The sequence below is a fragment of the Homo sapiens genome, chromosome 1 (genome assembly GCF_000001405.40).
Source record: "Homo sapiens chromosome 1, GRCh38.p14 Primary Assembly".
NCBI lineage: Eukaryota > Metazoa > Chordata > Mammalia > Primates > Hominidae > Homo > Homo sapiens.
Window position 1 is genome coordinate 9,178,988 of NC_000001.11, and position 21,728 is coordinate 9,200,715.

Sequence of the window (21,728 nt, forward strand, 5' to 3'; positions counted from 1 at the left end):
GCCCCAAATGACAGTGCAGAGTAAGAGTCACCTGGTGCCACGGAGGTCAGAGCGGGGCCCTGGGGTGAGCCTGGTGGGTCAAAAGGTCTATGAGCGTGAGAGGCAGGAGCTTCTGCCAAGCCTTCCCCAGGTGCCACTGCCTGCCCCAGGCGTGGTAACCCACAGCCAGGGACACGGGAGAGGGCGTACTCAAACCGTGTCATGCTTCAGTCAGAATGGATCCCCTTATAGACCCTTATTTTTCCTTTTGGCATCAACTCAAGGCATTTTACTCCATTTAAATATTTGCAATACTAGTTAATGAAAAAAAAAAATGTAGGCTGGGCGAGGTGGCTCACACCTGTAATCCCAGCACTTTGGGAGGCTGGGGCGGGAGGATCACTTGAGCCCAGGAGGTTGAGACCAACCTGGGAAACATGGTAAGATCCCATCTCAACAGAAAATTTAAAAATTAGCTGGGCATGGTGACATATGCCTGTAGTGCTAGCTACTCAGGATGCTGAGGCGGGATGATCGCTTGAGCTCAGGAGTTCCAGGTTCCAGTGAGCTACGGTTGTGCCACTGCACTCCAGCCTGGGTGACAGAGTGAGGCCCTGTCTCAGAAAAAAAAAAAAAAAAAAAAAAAAAGCAGTGGTTTTTTAGGGAGGGGAAGAGAGGAATATTTGCAATGCAAAATCAAACAAGAAACTCCCCAGACCTCACTAGACTACATCAGCATAGAGGAAAGTTCTGATTTAGTGAACACATAAAATATCCATGAAAGCAAAGTGCTTTATCACTGATGCTACCTAATAGTTGCCACAGCACCCTGCTCCCTGGTTTATGCACATTCTCGAATTATTTTATCTCATGCGTCTACCAAGTAGGTCCTAACATAAGGGCAATTTTTATAGATGAGGAACCAAAGCCAGGAAAGGAAGTCCTATTTCCAAATTAGCACAGCTAGTGACAGAGACGGAGCTGGAAGGCGGGTCCTTAACTCAAAACCCGTATCCTTACTGGAACACTGGGGCCCCAGTGGGGTCCTGAGGTGCCTTACGAATGGAGAAAAATGATTGGCACCATGTATGTCAGTGACCCGCATGGCACTGCCTCCCAGAGCCTGCACTAAACAGTTCGTTCTTACAAGTATGTCAGACAGACAGCTGTAGCTGCAGTACTGATGTGTGCTCTCTGGGAAGGAAGGATCTGCCAACCAAGGCAAATTTCAGAGCTAGACAAGAAAACTTCCTTGTTTTCATGTGATATTCATTACCAAGTATCACGAGTTGATCTTCAGTCTCACCCGCTTTCTTGCAATTTCTCCAATGCACCAAACACAGGGCCTTTGCACTTACTAACCCTTCTGCCTGAAAAGCCGTCCCCCTCATCCTTCTGTAGGTTTCTCCTCAATGACTCATTGCGTATAGCAAGGACTCTGTAAATATTTGTCGCATGAATGAATGAGTCCCGCCTAGTTATTTTCTTATGCACAGATCTGATAACCTCTAGCTGGAGGTAGTGTATCCTATAACCAAGGGCAGCATCTTGTTCATCCTTGCATCCTCCTACACCCCCCGGCCCAGGGACCAGTTACAAGGGCAGGTGTAGGGCTGGGTTGGCAATTAGGTGACACAATCAATGGGAAGCACTGCATGGATGCTATGATCAGAAAGACCTGGGGGCCTGTCTAGGTTTAGCATTATTGATTTGCGATGTGTGCCAAGGGCAGGGGTGGGGTGCAAAAGTGCAGTCCTCATGGCCACCACACCAGCTAGCCAAGGGATCCTGGAGGCCCAAGAGAAAGCTGGATTGGGAGGGGAGAGCAGGGCAGTCCTGGCCAGTTTTGGCCAGCTTGGGGAAGCTCAGGAGACAGGCCACTACCCCATGTGGCAGTAGGTGCCAATGGGCTCAGGTACCAACTGATGCTGCCCCCAGCTGCTCCCTCTGCTCCTGGATAGTCCTTCAAGAGGAATGTTTGCAAGCACAGGTACCTTCCCTCTTCCTCAGCCATGACTACACAGCATTTGTGGCTCATGCAGGAAGACACAGGGGCTCAGAGGAGTGGCCATTTGTCCCAAAGATATCTCAGAACTGGGCAGAGGCAGAACTGGCTAACATAACTGCAGTGGGCCGTTTAGCCCCCTTAACATGACTTGGTATCTGCTAGAGTTTCACATGCATGTATGCAGAGATCCCAGCCACCTCTGGGCTCCAGGAGCCTAGTGTGGATGCAACAGGAAGGCCCAGGCTCTGGAACCTTCTGCAGAGCCTAGCTCATGTCCCCCACCTGACGCAGAAACAGGGAGGTGCTGAAGCATGTGCCCTGTCTGTGCTACAGGCCCCATCCACGTAACCTGAGAGAGGGGGCCTCAGGAGCACTGGCACCTGCTGCTCCAGGCCAGGAGCAAGGAACTCCAGGGACCACCTCCCCTCAGTCTCCTTCCCCACTGGCGGCTCACAGGCTGGACAGGGCTCCAGCCAGCAGGGGGCGCGCGCGTTCACCTCGGGGCCAGGTTGGCTGAAAGCCCCTCTCCCGTTCCCCTCTTCTAGAGCAAAAGTCTTCCAAAGCCTTGACCTCTTAGACAACGCTACTTTAGTGACCGAAGCACTTTTCCTTTCCCTTTCATGCGAGTTTTTTGCAACCATGGGTGGCTAGTATCAATGCCTCCACTTTCAAGGTGAGGAGAGGAACTGGGGAGGTTGAGCATTTGCTGCAATATCACCGTGGCCAGCAGCGCAAGAGAGCCAGGGTCCCCATTTGCCACCCATGAACCAGTCGGCCTTCCTCGCCCCACGCTGGAGATAGAGGAGGGAAGAAAGAACTAGCCGAGCAAAACCCCAAAAAAGGAATCCTTTCTCCCCAGAGATTATGAAATCAAAGAACATTTTGTTGCTTCTTGGAAATTCTTCCCCTTACGGAGGCTACACAATTGAACAGGGTTTTCATTATTATGACTATGATTATTAAAGTTGTTGGTCTAGTTCCCGCCTCCTTCTTTGCAAACTTTCGCACGGACTGAGAAACACAAGCGTTTACCTGGGTGCATGCTGGGACGGGGCGAGCAGGTAGTGCAGGCTTCCAGGCCTCTCCTGCCCCGGAGCTTGGCTGCAGGACTCCCGCAAAATCTCCAAATGCCCCCGATCTGCGTGGTCACCGAGAAGCAGCCCGGCTCGGAACAAGCCCAGGCAAGCCCAGGCAGAGCCCGCCGCCGGGTCCTCCTTCCTGCTCGTGCCACCAGGCCCCGGGGCCGCGACGCGTCTCTCCAGCCCGGGATCCGGGGAGCTGGGCTGTCCCCAGACCGACGGGACAGCGGCATCTCCTCCACCTGAAAAGGAAAGAGGACCAGGTGGGGGCCAGGCAGGGCGCATGAAGGCGGCGCCAGCACCGCGCGATCCGAATCACGTCGGTGCGGGGGAGGGGTCGGAGCCTGGCCTCGGCCTAGGGCGCAGATGCGGTGCGCACCGCAGGGGGGCGGCGTGGGGTGCGGGGCCAGTCCCGCCGGGCACGGGGTCCTGGTCCTCATCCCCTTCACCGCCGCCGCCCGCCTGGGCTGGCGTTTCCCCAGCGAGAGCGCGTAGTTTGCGCAGCGCCCCTCGCCCACGCCGCCGCTGGGTCGCGGGGCGCGCCTACCCAGAGCCGAGGTCCCGGACTCCCCGGCCATCGCGACCCTTCCGGGGACTCCTCGCCCCTTCGCGGTGGGACCAAGGCCCGGGTGGGGCCGGGACAGGGTGGTGGGGGGAAGGGGGACCGTACAAAAGCAAACAGAAACCACGGGGGGCTCGCCGCGACGCCCAGTCCGAGGGCCTCTCGCCTGGAAGAGGGAAGAAACCCACGTCCTGGACGCGGGTGTGGGGTCTGTCCCGGGTCAGGACCTGTTGTCTCTGCGACGTTGCCAGTCCGGAGAGCTCGGAGGGCCAATGCAGCCCCGGATTCAACAAGATGCGAAAGGACTTCTAAAGCCAGGAACCGGCACCCAGCCACGGCCACCGCCCGCCGGCCCGGCGCCCTGCCCCCACTCACTGCGCCCCCAAGTTCCGGCGCCGCGGGCTGCAGGGGTGACTTGGCTCGGCGTGCCTCGGGGCACGAGGCTCGGCCCCGCACGGCTCTCGGGTCCCGGGGGGCTGGGGTGGGAAGGGACATGGCCGGCGCGCGGCGCTGGGGAGCCGGGTGCGCCAGGCTGGGGACCTTGCGTGGGGCAGGGCTTGGCTCAGCCGAGGGGCCGCGGCTCAGCCCCCCTCACCGGCCTTAAAGGTTCCCAGAGACGCAAAGTCGGACGCGGGTCCTGAGCGCGGAGCTACAGGGGGGAGCATGGGGCAGCCCCCAAGGCGCGCTCCCTGCATTTCCCACCCTTTCCACGCTGCCCTGCGCGCACGGTCGGGCGCCCTTGGGGTGGGCAGGGAGGCGCGGGCAGGGGCAGCGCCGAAGACCTCCCGCCGCCATGGAGAAGGGGCTCCCCACCCACCCTCCTGCCCCAACCATTATAGATCCCAGCCAGTGCGCCCCGCGCCCTTCCGGGACAAGCTGCCCCCAGGACCACCGTGCCCCAGTATCAAGCGGACAGCAAATCTCTCGGTGGCTCCTTTTGTAAGGGTTTCTGCCCTCAGGGTTGTTACGGGACAGAAATGGTTTCATCAGAAACAAGCCCTCCTCGCACACTCACAGTTTGCAGGACTCCGAACTGGGCCCGCGAGATCTCCACCTGCGCAAAACGAAAGGGCGGATTCTCCTTGGACTCACGAGGCAACCGCTCCCCGGGGTGAGAACGGGGGACTCATTCCTCCGGCACTGGGAGAAGACGATTCTTTAGGAGGAGGACAGGGAAGCGAATGCTACCCAGGTGCGTAATCACATTTGGGCACCCTCGGGGGCCTGAGAGGAGGCCAGGGGTGACCTGCCCCCATTCTCACAGGGGAGGGGCGGTGAGCCTATTCTCACAGGTGTCTGTGATGAGCCCATGTTTTCCAAACTCCTCCGTGATTCTAGAACAGTGCTAGAGAAGCCGTGAGCCAGCTGGCAGGTGAGAACGCCCAGGTGCAGGTGGATGGCTGCAGGTCAGGCCTACTTTTCCTACACCTGTTGCTGGGGGGCAATCCCATACCCACTCTCAGTCCAGAGTGCCTGTCACCACAGGGCAAGTAGGTGAAGGGCTTCTCAGATCCTCAAAGACTCAGAGGGATAAAAGGAGGCAGATGGGTCCTAGAGGCAGCCCATGGCAAGGGAGAGGTCTGCTTTTTTCTTTTTTTTTGAGACGGAGTTTCACTTTTGTTGCCCAGGCTGGAGTGCAATGGCCTGACCCTGGCTCACTGCAACCTCCACCTCCCAGGTTCAAGTGATTCTCCTGCCTCAGCCTCCTGAGTAGCTGGGATTACAGGTGCCCACCACTATGCCCAACTAATTTTTGTGGAGACGGGGTTTCACCATGTTGGCCAGTCAGGTCAAATTCCTGACTTGAGGTCAAACTCCTGACCTCAGGTAATCCACCCATCTCGGTCTCCCAAAGTGCTGGGATTACAGGTGTGAACCACCACACCTGGCCGAGGTCTGCTTTTCTGATCAGACAAAAGTGGGTTCCAACCTTGACTCACTACATGGCCTGGGCAATGTGCCAGCATCTTCCCAACCTCTCCCTGCACCCCCAAATAATCTCATTCAATCTTCAAAAAGCCCTTTGAGATAAGTCCTAGGACTGCTGCATTTACAGGTGAGGAAATTAGGACCTGAAAGGTAAGACTGGGTTGGCCACAACCAACGCAGGGAGGAGAGCGGGGTGGACCCACGACCCAAGGTGGCGCCTGTCGGTTCTCCAAGCCCTCACTCCTCATGTACCTGCCATCCTGCCTCAACTTCGCAAATTGCTTACGCATGCTGAGCGTGTGTCCTCGTGTACACCGACAGCATCAGGCTCCTAGTATGGATGCAATAAGTACTGTGGAATGAATGAATGAATGAATGAATGAAATGAATGCACACCTCCCTACCCCCAGGGTGATGATAAGGACTGTGCAAGACAGAGTGGCTGCACACAGTAGGCCCTCTCATGCATGCAGTCGCTCTTCTAAAACATCTCTATGAAGCACCTGTTTTGTTCCAGGCATTGAGGGAACATTGGTGCTCATTGGTTCTCTGTTCCTTGCAGACAGACCTGGGAGCATTCTCCTTGGAGGTCCCCACCCTTGTGGGCTCTTTTTTTCTTGCTTTCCTTTCAGAGCCACCAAAATGCCTGGACCTGGGCAGCTAACAGTGGGATGAATCTGCTTTAGAGACACCAGACTGCCAGCTAGAGAATTGAAATAACCTGATTCTTATCTATTTTTCCATCCAGAGAGGGCACACCAAGGCTAGGCCTCATTTTTTTTTTCTTTAAACATTTTTGTGTTGACAAATAATGTTTTATAAAGGCCTCACTATCTGCCAAACTGTGTCTCACTTCTCCCCAGCCCTGCCAGGTGTGGGGACACCGAACCCACCCATATCTCCTCTAGAATCCACCGAGCACTGAGATAGCCACATCTCTAACCTACACCTTTAACTTACAAGCCACAGTCAAGAGGGCTTTGGAGAAAGGGAACCACAGAGGTAGCACGGACAAGCCTCCACTATCTGCCCCTGGCGCAGGACGCCCACAACCCCAGACACGGTGCACAACGGTCCCTCAGGAAGCCTTTCCTTGAGTCCTACATTTAACCACAGAGGCCCAGAGGCCCAGGCGTGGTGGTGACTGCCTGCTCGGCATGCCCCAACCTTTTTTTTTTTTTGAGACAGAGTCTGTCGCCCAGGCTGGAGTGCAGTGGCATGATCTCGGCTCACTGCATCCTCTGCCTCTGGGATTTAAGCGATTCTCCTGCCTCAGCCTCCTGAGTAGCTGGGACTACAGGCGCCCGCCACCATGCCCGGCTAATTTCTGTATTTCTACTAGAGATGGGGTTTCACCATGTTGGTCAGGCTGGTCTCGAATTCCTGACCACAAGTGATCCACCCACCTCGGCCTCCCGAAGCACTGGAATTACAGGCGTGAGCCACCATGCCCTGCTGGCCTCCCGCTCTGAGATTACCTTTTCACCTCAGATGAGAAAAATGAACTCAGTAAAGTGCTTGGGAAAGAAACATCTCAATCCAAGCCAATGGGAAAGCCTGGCAAGGAACCCAAGGAATGTGGATCTCCAGGGAGCCCATGGCTCCATCTTGTTCAAAAGTGAGAATTTAAAAAGGAGGATGAGCTTGAGACCAGCCAGGGCACCATAGTGAGACCCCATCTCTACAAAAAATTTTAAAATTAGCCAGACATGGTGGTGCACACTTGTAGTCCCAGCTACTCAGGAGGCTGAGGCAGGAGGATCACTTGAGGCAGGAGTCTGAGGCTGCAATGAGCCAAGATCACACCAGTGCACTTCAGCCTGGACAACAGAGGGAGACCCTGTCTCTAAAAATTAACCAATTAATTTAAAATTTTAAAAATAAATGAATTAAAGGATGAGAATGTTCTGGAATGAGATAGTGGTGATGGTTGTAAAACTTAGTGAATATACTAAAACCTACAGAGTTGTATACTTTAAGATGGTGAAATTTATGGTATGTAGGTTCATCTCAGTTAAAAGAAAAAAAAAGCCACCATTCGCATTCTTCCTTACTGGCTGAAATATATGGCATAAACCCAGCTAGTTACCGGAAAGCCTCAGCACTCTTGATAAACAGCAACTCTGCTAACTTAGATGATCTCATTTCAGTAGGGAGTACACAAGATCAGCCATCCTAGGGCTGCAGCGGGTCTCTGCAGGGGGCTGTAGTGGCCACGGCGGCACATCATCAAGAGGCCTGGGCAACCTGTCTCTTACACCCCCTGCAGACAGAACTGCAGGGACACAGGGCCCCAGACTGCACCCTGCAGAAGGAAGGGGTCTCAGAGGAAGGGGCTTTCTTCACTGCACCCTGAGATCAGAGAACTGCTTGGTGGGGTGATGGACAGGCCTCCGTGTATGGGTGGGTGTGTGTGGGGGGGGGCGGGGCAGGGGGTGATGCCGCATGGCTGGGGGTGCTCCAAAGAGCCCACCTAGTACTTACAAGGCCCCATCTCTCAATAAGGAAGCCCAATTTGTTGTGTTGGTGAAGAAATTGCCACCAGATTAAAAATGGCAAATAAATGCAAGAATTCAAAATACTGTACAAAGGGGGAAATTACTTTTAGGTATTTACTTACTGCTTTGCTGACTGGACATTTTAACCGAATGTAGCTTTCAGCTTCTGTTTATTTTCCAGAAGTTTATTTTCCTAAAACCATTCCTTGGCTCATGCCTCAAAGCAACCTTTTTCCCAATTAAATTGAGGACAGAGAGAGGTCAGTTTATTCTTAGGAGATTGACAATCAATAGATGGAATGATATTTAATACATAAAGATGTATTATTTAGCTGTCATATCGAGTCTGTATTGTATATGTTATGTACGGTTACGTGTTTTACAGACTTTCTCTTTTGATCCCCCCCACAGCTCTGTAAAATCCCTAGTATTATGCCCATTTAGCAGATAAACTGAGACTCAGAGAAGCTTCATTCTCACGACCCTGTCTAAGGTCCTACAGTGTGTAAGCAACAGACGTGAGATTTGGACCTCTGCTGGACCCCCAAAGGCGGGGCAGCGAACACTCCCCTCCACTCCGCGCCTCCGCAGAACACACAGGGCACCATTTCACAAACACAGCAGGCACAGAGAGAAACTCCTGCATTTTCATCATAATGCACGGAAACCCCCTGACCTCAAGCCCAGAGAAGTGAGATGCATCCAGGTCTGTTTGCTGCCTGCATGTTTCACAAATACATCTAACAGGTATGTCCCATTTCTCCAGCTTGAGGTCAAAACGGGCCCAGTTCTCCTTTACTTTTTTTTTTTATTTTTTTAATTTCTTTGAGACAGAGTGTCACTCTGTCACCCAGGCTGGAGGTCAGCTGCTCACTACAACCTCCACTTCCTGGGTTCAAGCGATTCTCCTGCCTCAGCTTCCTGAGTAGCTGGGATTACAGGTGCCTGCCACCAGGCCCAGCTAATTTTTGTGTTTTTTTTTTGTTTTTTTGAGACAGAGTCACACACTGTTGCCCGGGCTGGAGTGCAGTAGCACGATCTCGGCTCACTGCAACCTCCGCCTCCCAGGTTCAAGTGATTCTGCTGCCTCAGCCTCCCGAGTACCTGAGATTACAGGCGCATGCCACCACACCCAGCTCTTTTTTTTTTTTTAATTTTTAGTAGAGATGGGGTTTCACCACGTTGGCCAGGCTGGTCTCGAACTCCTGACCTCAGGTGATCCACCCACCTTGGCCTCCCAAAGTCCTGGGATTACAGGCATAAGCCACTGTGTGCAGCCCCAATTTCCTTTTAATGACCAAACTGACCTGAAGCTCCACTTCTAAGGACTGTGGGAAGGGCGTTTTCCCTGTCCAAGGATCCCCCCACCTAAAGAACCCTGGGAGCACCAGCTTACCCCAAGGCTGCCAGTCAATGTCCAATAGGATAGCCACTAACTACATGTGACTATTTGAATTAATTAAAATTTAAAATTCATTTCCTCGTTGTATTCACCCACCTGGCTAGTGGCTACTGTATTGGACAATACAGCTCTAAAGTCTCTGCTGCATTAAGCCGGAGCCTCAGAAAGCTGCAAGCCTGGCTGCACCCCTCATAGGCTCGCTGTCACTGGTTACGTGGACGGGCCTCACGAGAAAGCCCCATAACACCGCCGTCCATCTGCTGTGCTTACTCTAGGGATCTTGAATGCCGTTCATTCATGAAGCACAGTAGGTATTGGTAGGGGTCTCCGTGACAATTCACATTGGTGGTCTGGGATCCCCAAGCAAATGCAACATAGTATGCAGACTTCTTTGGTCACCACATCATCCTTTGAACTAGTTGAAGGCTGAAGAAGGTCTTTCAATATAAAGCTGGCCGATGTGCTTTGATTATAATACAGCAATCTGAATATGAGCACGTGGAAGACATTTGAAGTGCAATAGTGTGACTGAGTCTTAGCAAAATCTTCTGAAAAGTCTGATGGGTCACTTGTGCTGGACAGCTGGTGCTGAAAACCTGGCAGCTCACGATAACACTAGAACTAGTGGCTGGGCACGGCAACTCACACCTGTAATCCCGGCACTTTGGGAGGCTGAGGCGGGCGGATTATTTGAGGTCAGGAGTTCGAGACCAGCCTGGCTAACATGGTGAAACCCCGTCTCCACTAAAAATACAAAAAAAGTAGCAGGGCATGCTAGCGCATGCCTGTAATTCCAGCTAATCGGAAGGCTGAGGCAGGAGAATTGTTTGAACCCAGGAGGCGGAGGTTGCAGTGAGCTGAGATCACACCACTGCACTCCAGCCTGAGTGACAGACTGAGACTCCGCCTCAAAAAAAAAAAAAAAAAAAAAAAGACTAGAACTAGATTCCGTTGGCCCCCGAGACCAGGGGCCTGGAGGCACCTCTCTGCAAACACTGGAGACAGAGGACAGGTCCCCAGGTCCTGCAGCTGCTGAAACTTACGGTAGAAGGGACAGGCCTCCGCTGAGCTGCTGAGGTCTACAGAACCTGAAGGCTGCCCAGCCAGTGCCACCCAGTTTTGCTACCATGAGCCCCAGTCTGAGAGATCCTTCCCTTTCTGGGCACTGGGTCTAGAGAGGCAGCATAAAAGCTTGCTTTTGTTCTACTCGTATCTTATCAAGGTCACAAGTTGACCTCCATGTTGCTAAATCCAATGGTCAGTTTCAAGAACTGTCTGCTGGGCTCATCAACGTAATTTGACACAGCGGGCCCCCTCCAGATCTTTAGAACTCCTGTTTTTACTCCTTTGGATCTTTAGATGCCACTCCTTGGTTCTCACCTACTTCCTTGGCCGTTCCTTTTCAGTCTCCTCTGCTGGTTCCTCCTCCAGCCCCCACCCTCTTTGTGTTAGAGGACCCCATGGCCTGGTCCTTGGACCCCGTCTCTACCTACACTCCCTTTCCGGGTGATTTCATCCAGCCTCCTAGTTTTGAATAACATTTGTACTCTGATGCCTCCCGAGTTACTATCTGCAGCCACCACTTCTCTCACCTCCAGACTCTCATAGCCAACTGCCAATTCCAAGTCCTATAGATGTGTGGTAGGAATCTCCAAAGTTGTGTTTCCAAAACAAAAGTCTTGATTGCATCCTGCCTACCCAGACTGCTCCTCTGAAGTCTTCCCCATCTCCATAGGTACCAACTCCAACCTTCTAGTGCCTGGCCAAAAACCTTGCAGGCCATTCTTGGCTCCTGACTTAGCCTACATCCAATCCATCAGCAAAGCCTGCTGCCTCCATCTGTAAAATACACTCAGGATCCAAACACTTCTCTGTTTTTTTCTCATCACATTCATCGCTTCTACTCTTGTCCAAGCTACTATTGTTCTCTTTCTTGACACAGGGTCTCACTCTGTTGCCCAGGCTGGAGTGCAGTAGTGCAATCTCAGCTCCGCCTCCAGAGCTCAAGCTATCTGCAACCTCCTCTTCCAGAGCTTAAGCGATCCTCCCATCTCAGCCTCCTGAGTAGTTAATTGCATGCCACCATGACCAGCTAATTTTTTTAGAGACAGGATTTCGCTATGTTTCCCAGGCTGGTCTCAAACTCCTGGACTTAAGTGATCTGCTCACCTCGGCCTCCCAAAGTGCTGGGATTACAGGTGTGAGCCATCACACCTGGCTCATGATCATTCTTTTGCCTGGATGATTGTCCTGGCCTCCTAGCTGGTTTCCCAGGGCCCTTGCTTCCCAAAGTCCATCTTCCATGTGGCATCCAGGAGCCGTCTCACTCTGTTCCCGCCTCCTTGCTGATCTTGGAACGCTCCAGGCCTGGTCCTACATCAGGACCTTTTCATTTGCGGTTCCCGACCAGGACTGCTTCTCCCCTAGATGCCCACGTGACTTGTTCCCCCTTTCCTCCTGTTCCCTGATCAAATACCTGCCGATTGACAAGGCCTTTTCAGATCAGCCCCACCTGCTCACTTGCTTTCCTGCCTGTCCACATATTTACCATCAGAACAGAATTCTGCCCATCCGTTTATTGTCTGTCTCCCCCAGCAACCACTAGAATGGAAGCTGCATGTGGGCATGGCTTAGTTTTGTCCACTGCTGGATCTCAGCATCCAAAACAGTCTACCACCTGGTAAGTGCTACAGAAACATTTACGAACAAGAAACCAGTACTGGCTACCCCGCCTCTGCCTGTGCTCATCTTATCTTCCACCTGAAAGGTTCCCCCACTCTAACTTCACCCTGCACCCTTCGACCAGTCAATGATCCCCACAGCTTGGCCCACTCCAAACCCCTTAAAATCCCTGAACCCAAACTCCTCAGGAGGCAGATTTGAGGTTTCCCCCCAACTTCTCATGTGGCTGCCCTATGATTTAAACTCTTTCTCTGCTGCGGTTCCAGATGTCTCAGTATACTGGCTCGCGGCACATCGGGCAAATGAACCTATCAGATAACAACGGCAGATCAGATGCCTGAGCATTCAGAAGCAACAGCTGTGGAGCCCCCGTGGGTTCAGAAGGCCTGGTTCCCGTCTCCAGAAGCCTGGCTCTCCTCCCTCCTGGGCCCACTACTTTGGCTTCTTGTTCCTACGTACAAGGAGTTGCGAAGAAGGCAACTCTTCCCCTCCCTGAAGCCAAAGGAATGAAACAGACTAGGGCGGGAGAGGTGGCCATCCGTCATTAGTTGCGGCCATCAGTAACAGCAACAGGACACGGAACCTAAGGCTGTATCCATCCTGGGCCCCCAGGGAAACATCAGCGGGAGCGGTACTAAGGAAGTGCTCATCTCTTAGAGACAAAGGCCCATGGAGGGGAACAGTAACCATCCCCTCCCAATTCAGAAAATGTTAACATAAGCACTTCATTTCTCATGCAGATAACCACATAAGTCTATTAATAAGAAAGAAAGAGAAAGAAAAAAAAGAAAAAGGAATCCATGCCAGCAGGGTATAGGAATTGGTCTATAGGAGAAAGGGTCACCCACTGAAAGGTGGGCTGAATAGAATTCCTTGCCTGGGCTTTGAGGTCCTGGCATGGAGAAGGCTGTAGAAATGCTGGCATCAGTGGAACCCTCAATAAACAGAATTCTTGTTAAAGAATCACAGTCATTGGTGGAATGGACTGCCCATCTAAGGTCAATCTACACTAAAGGATGGCAGAGATCAAGAGAAAGAGAAAGAAAAAGCACCCATGGCCGGGCATGCGTGGTGGCTCACACCTGTAATCCCAGCACTTAGGGAGGCCGAGGCAGGCGCATCACTTGAGGTCAGGAGTTTGACACCAGCCTGGCCAACATGGTCAAACCCCATCTCTACTAAAAATACAAAAATTAGCCAGGCGTGGTGGCAGGCACCTGTAATCCCAGCTACTCGGGAGGCTGAGGTGAGAGAATTGCTTGAACTGGGAGGCAGAGGTTGCAATGAGCAGAGATTGCACCACTGCACTCCAGCCTGGGCACTAGAGTGAAACTCCATCTCAAAAAAAAAAAAAGAAAAGGAAAAAGAAAAAAGAAAAGCACCCAGATCCTAGGACATATAAATACTTCCAACATGAGGACCGCGGGGTAGCGCCCATGGGAGGTGCAGGTCACTGTCCTTAGCGGAACCCCTTCTCTACCTTGCCACACCGGCACTAAGCCCTCGATCCTTCTGACAGACATGGCCACATTTTTGTACATGTTTGCAGCCATCACTCCTTTCACTGTAGTAAGCTGTGCACTCAGCATCACCCATGTCTTTCTATAAATAGGAAGAAAGCTCAGAACAGCCCTCAGAAAACTGCATGTTGACAGCACCCAGAGTCCTGGCTGGAAGAGGGAAGGGCACTCACAGAGCTGCTTCCCTGGAGCTGTGTCTCTCCCAACTGCCTTGAAGGAATCTCTTGGGAAGGCAGCGACTTCTGGCCTCTGGGGACCTAAAGAAGCCAAGTGGCAAAGCGGTATGAAAACTAAACCAGTTCTAGGTCCAGGTGCACATCAAGGCAGTTTGTGGGGCACGTGGCAGGTCTGCTGAAACACAGTGCCTGCCCCTCGCCAACCTTCTCTCTCTGGCAGGAACCCCCTCCTTTGAGTTAAAAGTGTTGCAGACCCCAGGAAATGCCTGAGAGACCTTGTGCCTTAACAGAGAGAGATGTTATGTGCACCGGATCCCCAACATGCTTTGCAAATGTTGAAGGGAGAAGACAGACGTGGGCCAGATACAACACAAACAAGGCTCTCAGGCCACCAGGCTGAGTGAAGGTGCTATACAGAGGCTTCTTGGCCACCTGGGGCCCCTTTGAGCCTATGAGGGATCCTGGGAGGGTAGTGGAGTGAGGACAGCAGAGGAGCACCAAAGACAAACTCAGCCCATTTCACAATTTTATCGTGAGCCAGCCCTATCTTAGCCCTCTCGTTTTGAAGAAAAGCCAAATTTGTATTTAAAAAAATACTTATGCCTGATGCATTCCCTATTGTGAAATAAGCACATTTATTACACAGAAGGAAACCTGATGTCTCTCAGACCTTGAGCAGACTATTTACAACATTTGGGCTACAAGGCAAGGTGACCTTCAGACCACGAAGTGGCGATGGCTTGCATAGGGCAAGGCAGGGTCTCTGAGAGAACGTGAGACACACAGGCCACCACCATGTTTTAGGGGACCTGGGATTTTGCAACAGGAAGAAATAACAGGTTAGAAAAATGCATGCTTTAAAACATTTAAAATTTAAAAATAGAATGCTTTCACACACACACACTGCAACACAATATAATTGTGCCATTTACTAGTAATGATATAAACATATCTGAATGCCCCTTTGAACACAAAGCACAGCTAAATGCCCCACCTCCAGCAGACAGACCCTGAAGCAACACACCCCCAAGAAAACAAGTGACAGATATATATGATAGATAGATAGATAGATAGATAGATAGATAGATAGATAGATAGATATTATTTTTTTTGAGACAGAGTCTGGTTCTGTCTCAGAAGGGTCAGGTTGCCCAGGCTGGAATGCAGTGGCATGATCTCGGCTCTCTGCAACCTCCACCTCCCTGGCTCAAGCTAGCCTCCTACCTCAGCCTCCCAAGTAGCTGGGACGACAGGTGCATGTCAGCATACCCAGCTAATTTTGGTAGAAATGGAGTCTCACTATGTGGCTCAGGCTGCTCACTACGAGCTCAGAAGAGCTCAAGCAATCCACCCACCTCGGCCTCCCAAAGTATTGGGATTACAGACATGAGTCACCATGCCCGGCTGTAAGTGACAGATATTGACATAAGCCCTGCAATAGGAATCTGAGACCCAGGATTGGACAGGTCAACTAGCAATGCTTCTAAATACAAGTGATCTGGCAAGCTGGCAAAATGTCTGAGTTTCATTCTTTACCTTAGGTCAAAGTTTCATTCTTGATTTGGATCAAAGGGGAAGGAGAAAAAGGCACAAACTGAACCATCAACTCTGTCACCGAAAAGTGGTCCCCTGGATCTTAGTGCTTTGCCACCTTCTTGCCACCCCTATAGTAAAATGCTTTTTTATTCTTTCTTTAAAAATTTCTGTTATTATTATTTTATTTAAATGGGGTCTTGCTATGTTGTCCAGGCTGGTCTCCAACTTCTGGCCTCAAGCAATCTTCCCACTCCAGCCTCCCAAAGTGCTGGGATTACAGACGTAAGCCACCATGTCCAGCCATGATTTTTAAAGGCAGGCATACTTTATACTTTTTGTACACACTTACAGCTCTGATTCTTTTTTTAAACATATTTATTTATTTTTGTTGAGATGAGGTCTCGCTATGTTGCCCAGGCTGGTCTTGAACTCCTGGGCCCAAGTGATCCTCCTGCTTCGGCCTCCCAAGTAGTTGAGATTACAGGTGAGAGCCGCCATGCCTGGTTCAGGCTCTGATTCTTATGTCAGTGAATGCCCAGTAAATTATTGTTGGCTTGAACTGAATTATCAAGAAGGTGCTATCAAGAATTCTTTGAGCCAGGCACGGTTGCTGACGCCTGTAATCCCAGCACTTTGGGAGGCTGAGGCAGGCAGATCACTTGAGGCCAGGAGTTTGAGACTAGCCTGGCCAACATGGTGAAACCTGGTCTCTACTAAAAAATAAAAAAATTAGCCAGGCATAGAGATGCACACCTGCAGTCCCAGTTACTCAGGTGGCTGAGGCAAGAGAATTGATTGAACCCAGGAGGCGGAGGTTGCAGTGAGCCAAGATCACACCACTGCACTCCTGGGTGACAGATTGAGACCCTGTTTCAAAAAAAAAAAAAAAAAAAAAAGAAGTAAAGGAAAGGAAAAAAGAAAGAGAAAAAAAAAGAAAAATAATTCTTTGGCTAGGTATGATGGCACTTTGGGAGGCCGAGGCAGACGGATCGCTTGAGCCCAGGAGTTCAAGACCAGACTGAGCAGTATGGCAAAACCCCGTCTCTACAAAAAGTACAGAAACATAGCCTGGGGCGGTGGTGGGCGCCTGTAGTCCCAGCTACTCTGAAGGCTGAGATGAGAGGATTGCTTGAGCCCAGGAGGTTGAGGCTACAATGAGCTGAGATCACACCACTGCACTCTAGCCTGGGTGACAGAGCAAGACCCTGTCTCAAAAAAAAAAAATTATTATTTGGGAGATATAATTTTACATCATCAGAGGGTCAAAAAAAACCCTCTATTTTGCCTATTGGCCCCATTTGAGATGACCCTGGTGAAATTTCTCAGCTAACTTTCTCCACCTCTGTCAAGTTGACCGAGACACCACCTAAATCTCCATGAAGGACCTGGCAGCTTTCCGGCTCTGCAGCATTTTCCCGACAAGTTTGCTGCGCACACGCGGATGCTGACAGCACAGTCTCATGCTTGCCTAAGCCAGAGCACCACCCTCTAGTGTGACACCGTGTGATCTCTATTTTACCATGCAGAAGAGAGGTCATCTCCTGGTACAAGAAAATGGGCTGTCTTCTGGATAACCGCAGCAATTCATCTCTGAGTAGCTGAAGGTCATTAGTATGCATTATACAAGTGGAACCATTTGAGAGAAAAGAGGGAACTCACTGGACACAAAAGTGCACTGAGACTGTGAACAGCAAGTCCCGAACAAGGACACAGAGATAGATCCCAAAGGGAAAGGCTGGAGGGGGAAGGATGCGACCCAGCCGCAGTGGCTGATCCATGAGGGCTCCTGTCTGGGTTCGTGCTGCCAATCAGTAGCATTCCCCAGGCAAGACGTGGGCGCCAGGCCTGACTTGAAACCCAAGGTTGGCTTCAAGATCTTGCAGCTGGATCAGAATGCTGAGTTCATCGTTGCTGGTGGGCCGCCGTCACCTCTCCTTAGCCCCCCTGTTGAAGGATGGCCGGCCCCTCCTGGGAAAATTGCTACATTTCCTCAGATAACAGATGCACACATGACTAATCAGGCCTACCCTAAGAAATGAGAGCCAGCAGCAGAAGCCACAGCGCACACTCTGTATTGTGAAAATGGAATGTGGGATGACCTAGGAGATGACACAAATGCCGAACGGCGAACTTTCTGTTTCTATGAGTCTAATAATGAAAAACTTTTCTGCCTGAACCCGTGGGATCGAATAAAATGAAAAACCCCATTCTGCAAACCACTGCGCCCCATGGGAAGCAGCTCGGTTTCCTTCCCGTGTCGTCGGGAGCCCTCTGATGGAGGAAGCCTAAATTACAGCGCTCATAACCTAACAGGCAGCCGCCGGGCTCAAGTGCCCCCTGATTTTCCAGAATCGAAAAGAAGAGGAACCATAAAAGAAGCCGAATGTTTTCTCCCCCTGGCACTTTGCCCAGTGACAGTTGTCAATCAGAGGTGCTGCAGACCGACTCGAAGGCAGCGTTCAGTGCCCAGGCACACTGCCTGCTGCCGTTGGTTCCTCCCATGGTTCTCAGGGCGCCAGGTCTCTGTCAACTCCCAGCCCCCAGTTTCCTTACCTTGTCCTACTGCATCTGAGTCAGGATGCCTGATGGGTTGAGCGCTGATGATCTCATCCGTGTCCCACATGTCCCAGGGAATCCCAGGTCTGCCCTGAGCTTCCTGTGTCCTTGGGAAAGTCGGTTAATCTCTGGGCCTCACTGTCCTCATCGCTGAGCTTGGGGACTTGTAACAGATGATTTCTAAGTATCTTCCAGCTTTGAATAGAGCATTTGTCTTGGGTGGCCAGGCTTAAAGTTTAAAGGCATAAAAGGAAAATGGGATCTGATCTTTAATCAGAACTGCTGAGAATGAGAAGCGCAGAGCAAACTACCGACTGCATTGGGTGAAAAGTGAAAATGGTCGGTGGGGAGGTGCCACGGTCAGGATCTGAGGCGCTAGGATCTTGCCAGTGCCTTGGCGCCTTTCTCTGCAGTCCCCGGCCTGCCTCCCTTCTGCTCCCTCTCTTCCGGAGTCTGGTGCTGCCAATTTGCCAGGTGAGCCCCGCCAGCGTCCCATTGCCGGTTCTCGTGGCCCTCACCTTTTCCTTATACCTTCATCCCTGCAGGAGTCGCAGGACCTCAGCTGGCCAGTTGGCTCTGCCTGGAAGGTGCAGGTCTTGTCCTTGTCAGGGAGACTGGCAGCCGCAATGCTGTGCCTGTCCCAGGCTGAGCAAGAGGCTCCTGGTGTCGATTCTGGAGCAGCCACAGGCCTCAGCAGGCCCCCAAAAGTGATGACATCAGCACAGTACTGCACCAGCTCTGAGGGCCCCACTGCCCCTGCCATCTCCTCCTCCTCTCCCTCTCCAGTCTCCCTCTCCTCCCAGCACAGTGCAGCCTCCAAGGGCAGCCTCCACGGTGGAGATGCTCAAGCTAAAGCATGGGGACAGGAAAAAGCAACCACCAGGGTGGAGGGTCTCCCAGGGGAAGCACAAGGTCTGGGACAATGAGAGGCATCAGTCACCGAACCATCTCACAACTCGAACAACCCCAGAAGAGCGGGCTGGAGAGTGCAATGTGACATCACTTCCCATCTTGCTGGGAGACAGGGCTTTTGCCAAGAACGGGCCCCTGGGGATTCATCGGGCGACATTTTCATGCCACTGGCATAAATAAAGACTTGTACCAAAGGCTGCCATTCTGGGCAGAAGGTGCTGTCTAGACCCCCTTAGGGCTGCCCTCTCTGGCCCCAGGCCCCTGGCTCCTACCACCTAAGCCCATCACATCACCCAGGAGGGTCGGCAGCTGCTGGCCCCCACCCACATTCGCTGGCTTGGTTTTACTCTGCAGGGGAAGCTGGACTTCCTCCACATCCAAGTTCAACTACATGACATCAGGAACACAGCCTTTCTCCCGACACCTTCGAGCCTCTATTTGTCTCCAGTAGCTGTCCCAGAAATCATGGGTGGGAGCATTCAAAAATGTGGTTCCAGAGGTCCCCTTGCCCTAGCCCAAAAGGCTGCCTGAGCTGGGGATCCCTTCCTTACCCCCCAATCCGAAAGGCAGCCTGGCCTTCCAAACTGGAGTCCGTGGTTCAGAGTAGGAGATCCACAGTCAGGGCCCGGGACACGGCTTCCCCTGGCTGGTCTCAAAGTCTTCCTAACCCTCCAGGGGTCCGTCCTGGTCTTCCACGGAGTTTCCCAAAAGCGCGCGCCACACTTGGTGGGCGCTCAGCCCCGAAGCGCCTGTGAACACCGCCCATCCCAGGACGCACGAAGCCAGTTGGTACGAGCACCTAGAAGCAGCACTCCCCATTTGTCATCCTTCCCACGGGGAAGGCTGCCTGCTGCTCCGAGCCCTCAACTCCAATGAAGTACAGTCGTCAAGAAACGGTGGTCTAAATAAAGCCGGAGACTCACTCACTGCACCAATCAGCACCGTGCGTCCGTCTGGATCTCGGCGCCGGCTGCGCGCAGCCGCCAGGAGGTGGCCGTCGGGACGCGAGCGCCGCCCGGAGCAGTGGTGCAGGGTCTCCGCATCGCCGGCTGCTGCTGCAGCCCCGCAGCGCTCAGCACTGCTGACTTGGCCCGGGCGGCGGGCAGGCGGGCAGGCGGGCGGGGAGGGCGGGGGAGGGCCTGCTGCAGCTTGGGTTCTAACTGCCCCTGCGCAAGGAGACCGGGAGAAGCTGGCTGCAAGGGCTGGGCTGGCCAAGGCTGGGGCAGTTGCAAAGGGTGGGAGCGCAGCAAGCGGAGAAATACCCCTGAGTCAGCACTGGTGCATTGGGAGGTGTCCCGGAGAGCCTGGCCCACGACATGGACAGGGTGTCCGAAACGTACGCCCCTCTGTATCACCCTCTAGTCATGCACCCCCATCTAATTCTGAAACCAACTCTAGCCTCATTTTTTCCCCTCCACGATGATGGGCTGTAATGCACCCTGCTCTGAGGCCTGGGGGGAATGGAAAGACAGAATTCTCTTTCAAGCCCAACCCAGGCCCGGGGAACCCCCTAGATGTTACTGTGGGGTCACAGACAAGGCCGTGGGGATTTGACACGTGGGCAGGGACAAGGGCAACCCCAAAGCTAGTGGATCTGACATGGGGGTGACTGGGTGGTGTGGTGGGCATCATTTCATTCACTGCAGTGGATTTGCTGCCTGGGAAATGCAACCCCCACCGTCCGAGGTCCGCTCCTGTCTTACTAGCTACTTAGCAGCCAGCTTCCCTGTTCTGCTCCCTGAGAGATGAAGGTGTCCCAGGCTAAGATCCCTCCATCACCTGCCCATCCCTGAGGGTCTCATGTCACCTCAGCGGCTGGCACCTCCTCTTCCCAAACACCCCGTGGTGGCTTTGGCCCAGACAGTGCCTGCCTGAGGGAAGGAGGCCTCTGGCCATATGAAGACCGTAGAGGCCAGGGCGGCCATCCCTTGTTCATTTCATCCTGTGTAGTTCCTTTCACAAGCCCCACTGGAGTCATCTGCTCTTCCCCGGGACCCATTTGTGAAGTTCCTGTCTCCCTTGACCTCCCCGTAGGGAACCAGAGACCAGTGGGCAGGGACAGAGTGCTGGGGGCCAACAGTGGCATTTGCTCTGCAGCCCTCAACCAGCAGGCCTCTCCCTTGGCTAATTCCAGGCAGGAAGGACACTCGTTTGTCATCCAGGCTGGGAAGGGAGACACCAGAAGAGAAAAGTGTGTCTGGGCAGGCCAGGTCTGTTCTCTCCCTCTCCCGGGTGGAGAGGTCACAGATACCTCCATCCCATGGATGAGGGCAAACTAAAAAGTCCAGAGACAAACAGCTGGTCCTCGCAGCTTCCAGGGTTGGGAGTCAGAGGCTGGGATGGGTTACGGTTCAGCCTGCTGCACAGGTGAGTCTCCATCCTTAGCATCCTGCCATGCTGACTTCAAAAGACCCTAGTGCGTGGGACCCCAATGACTCGTTTCGGTGTGCTGGGCTCAAAATCGTTCGTGGCCAAGCACGTTAGTCTGGAAAATTTAAGTTGCTGCAGATTGATGGACAGAAGGAGAGATGGTTTTCAATATACAGGGAATGTATTTTAAAATGGAGCAAGAGACAGGGCTGCAAGGAGGGAACGGGCACTTCGAAAGCAGCCAGTAGAAAGTCGCTCCTAATTCTGGGGGAGGGAATTGTGTTCAGCCTGCAGAGTGCTTTTCTAGTCCAGGCGATGATTTGGTCTAAGACTTCATTAAACATTTGTCTATGAGCCCAAATTTCCCCAAATGACTGAGGTGTTTGGTATGAGCACATTGCATGCCCCAGGGAGCTTCAACGCCAGCAGCTTCCTGCCACGGTACAGGCAGGTTCTCTAAGCACGAGCTTTCAATTCAGGCTCCTGTCTATAGCGAGAACCAGAACACAATGCAGGGAC

General features: G+C 52.6%; 2 long non-coding RNA genes across 2 annotated transcripts in view, besides 11 other annotated features; one reads left to right on the forward strand and one right to left on the reverse strand.

Moving 5' to 3' along the window:
• The window catches only part of MIR34AHG (MIR34A host gene), a 34,328-nt gene extending 30,977 nt beyond the window's left edge, over positions 1-3,351 (reverse strand). The window contains exon 1 of the long non-coding RNA NR_132742.1: positions 3,020-3,351. This is a non-coding gene — a long non-coding RNA (MIR34A host gene). The remainder of the gene's footprint in view (positions 1-3,019) is intronic.
• Positions 1,905-2,766: an enhancer, noted in NCBI's record as "H3K4me1 hESC enhancer chr1:9240951-9241812 (GRCh37/hg19 assembly coordinates)". NCBI's record gives its function as "activates a minimal SCP1, AML or CMV promoter by ChIP-STARR-seq in naive and primed H9 embryonic stem cells {active_cell/tissue: H9 hESC(naive and primed)}" and the evidence as "EXISTENCE:reporter gene assay evidence [ECO:0000049][PMID:30033119]".
• Positions 1,905-2,828: a biological region, named in NCBI's record as "H3K4me1 hESC enhancer GRCh37_chr1:9240951-9241812".
• Positions 2,679-2,828: an enhancer, noted in NCBI's record as "active region_121". NCBI's record gives its function as "activates an Ori minimal core promoter by ATAC-STARR-seq in GM12878 lymphoblastoid cells {active_cell/tissue: GM12878}" and the evidence as "EXISTENCE:reporter gene assay evidence [ECO:0000049][PMID:35858748]".
• Positions 2,767-3,627: an enhancer, noted in NCBI's record as "H3K27ac-H3K4me1 hESC enhancer chr1:9241813-9242673 (GRCh37/hg19 assembly coordinates)". NCBI's record gives its function as "activates a minimal SCP1, AML or CMV promoter by ChIP-STARR-seq in naive H9 embryonic stem cells {active_cell/tissue: H9 hESC(naive)}" and the evidence as "EXISTENCE:reporter gene assay evidence [ECO:0000049][PMID:30033119]".
• Positions 2,767-3,688: a biological region, named in NCBI's record as "H3K27ac-H3K4me1 hESC enhancer GRCh37_chr1:9241813-9242673".
• Positions 2,939-3,288: an enhancer, noted in NCBI's record as "active region_122". NCBI's record gives its function as "activates an Ori minimal core promoter by ATAC-STARR-seq in GM12878 lymphoblastoid cells {active_cell/tissue: GM12878}" and the evidence as "EXISTENCE:reporter gene assay evidence [ECO:0000049][PMID:35858748]".
• Positions 3,217-13,099, forward strand: LNCTAM34A (long non coding transcriptional activator of miR34a). Its single transcript, NR_132738.1, has 3 exons — positions 3,217-3,329; positions 4,646-4,820; positions 12,406-13,099. It is a non-coding gene; the product is annotated as a long non coding transcriptional activator of miR34a (long non-coding RNA).
• Positions 3,329-3,688: a silencer, noted in NCBI's record as "silent region_213". NCBI's record gives its function as "represses an Ori minimal core promoter by ATAC-STARR-seq in GM12878 lymphoblastoid cells {active_cell/tissue: GM12878}" and the evidence as "EXISTENCE:reporter gene assay evidence [ECO:0000049][PMID:35858748]".
• Positions 3,999-4,088: a silencer, noted in NCBI's record as "silent region_214". NCBI's record gives its function as "represses an Ori minimal core promoter by ATAC-STARR-seq in GM12878 lymphoblastoid cells {active_cell/tissue: GM12878}" and the evidence as "EXISTENCE:reporter gene assay evidence [ECO:0000049][PMID:35858748]".
• Positions 4,099-4,208: a silencer, noted in NCBI's record as "silent region_215". NCBI's record gives its function as "represses an Ori minimal core promoter by ATAC-STARR-seq in GM12878 lymphoblastoid cells {active_cell/tissue: GM12878}" and the evidence as "EXISTENCE:reporter gene assay evidence [ECO:0000049][PMID:35858748]".
• Positions 4,489-5,349: an enhancer, noted in NCBI's record as "H3K27ac-H3K4me1 hESC enhancer chr1:9243535-9244395 (GRCh37/hg19 assembly coordinates)". NCBI's record gives its function as "activates a minimal SCP1, AML or CMV promoter by ChIP-STARR-seq in primed H9 embryonic stem cells {active_cell/tissue: H9 hESC(primed)}" and the evidence as "EXISTENCE:reporter gene assay evidence [ECO:0000049][PMID:30033119]".
• Positions 19,040-19,560: an enhancer, noted in NCBI's record as "H3K4me1 hESC enhancer chr1:9258086-9258606 (GRCh37/hg19 assembly coordinates)". NCBI's record gives its function as "activates a minimal SCP1, AML or CMV promoter by ChIP-STARR-seq in naive H9 embryonic stem cells {active_cell/tissue: H9 hESC(naive)}" and the evidence as "EXISTENCE:reporter gene assay evidence [ECO:0000049][PMID:30033119]".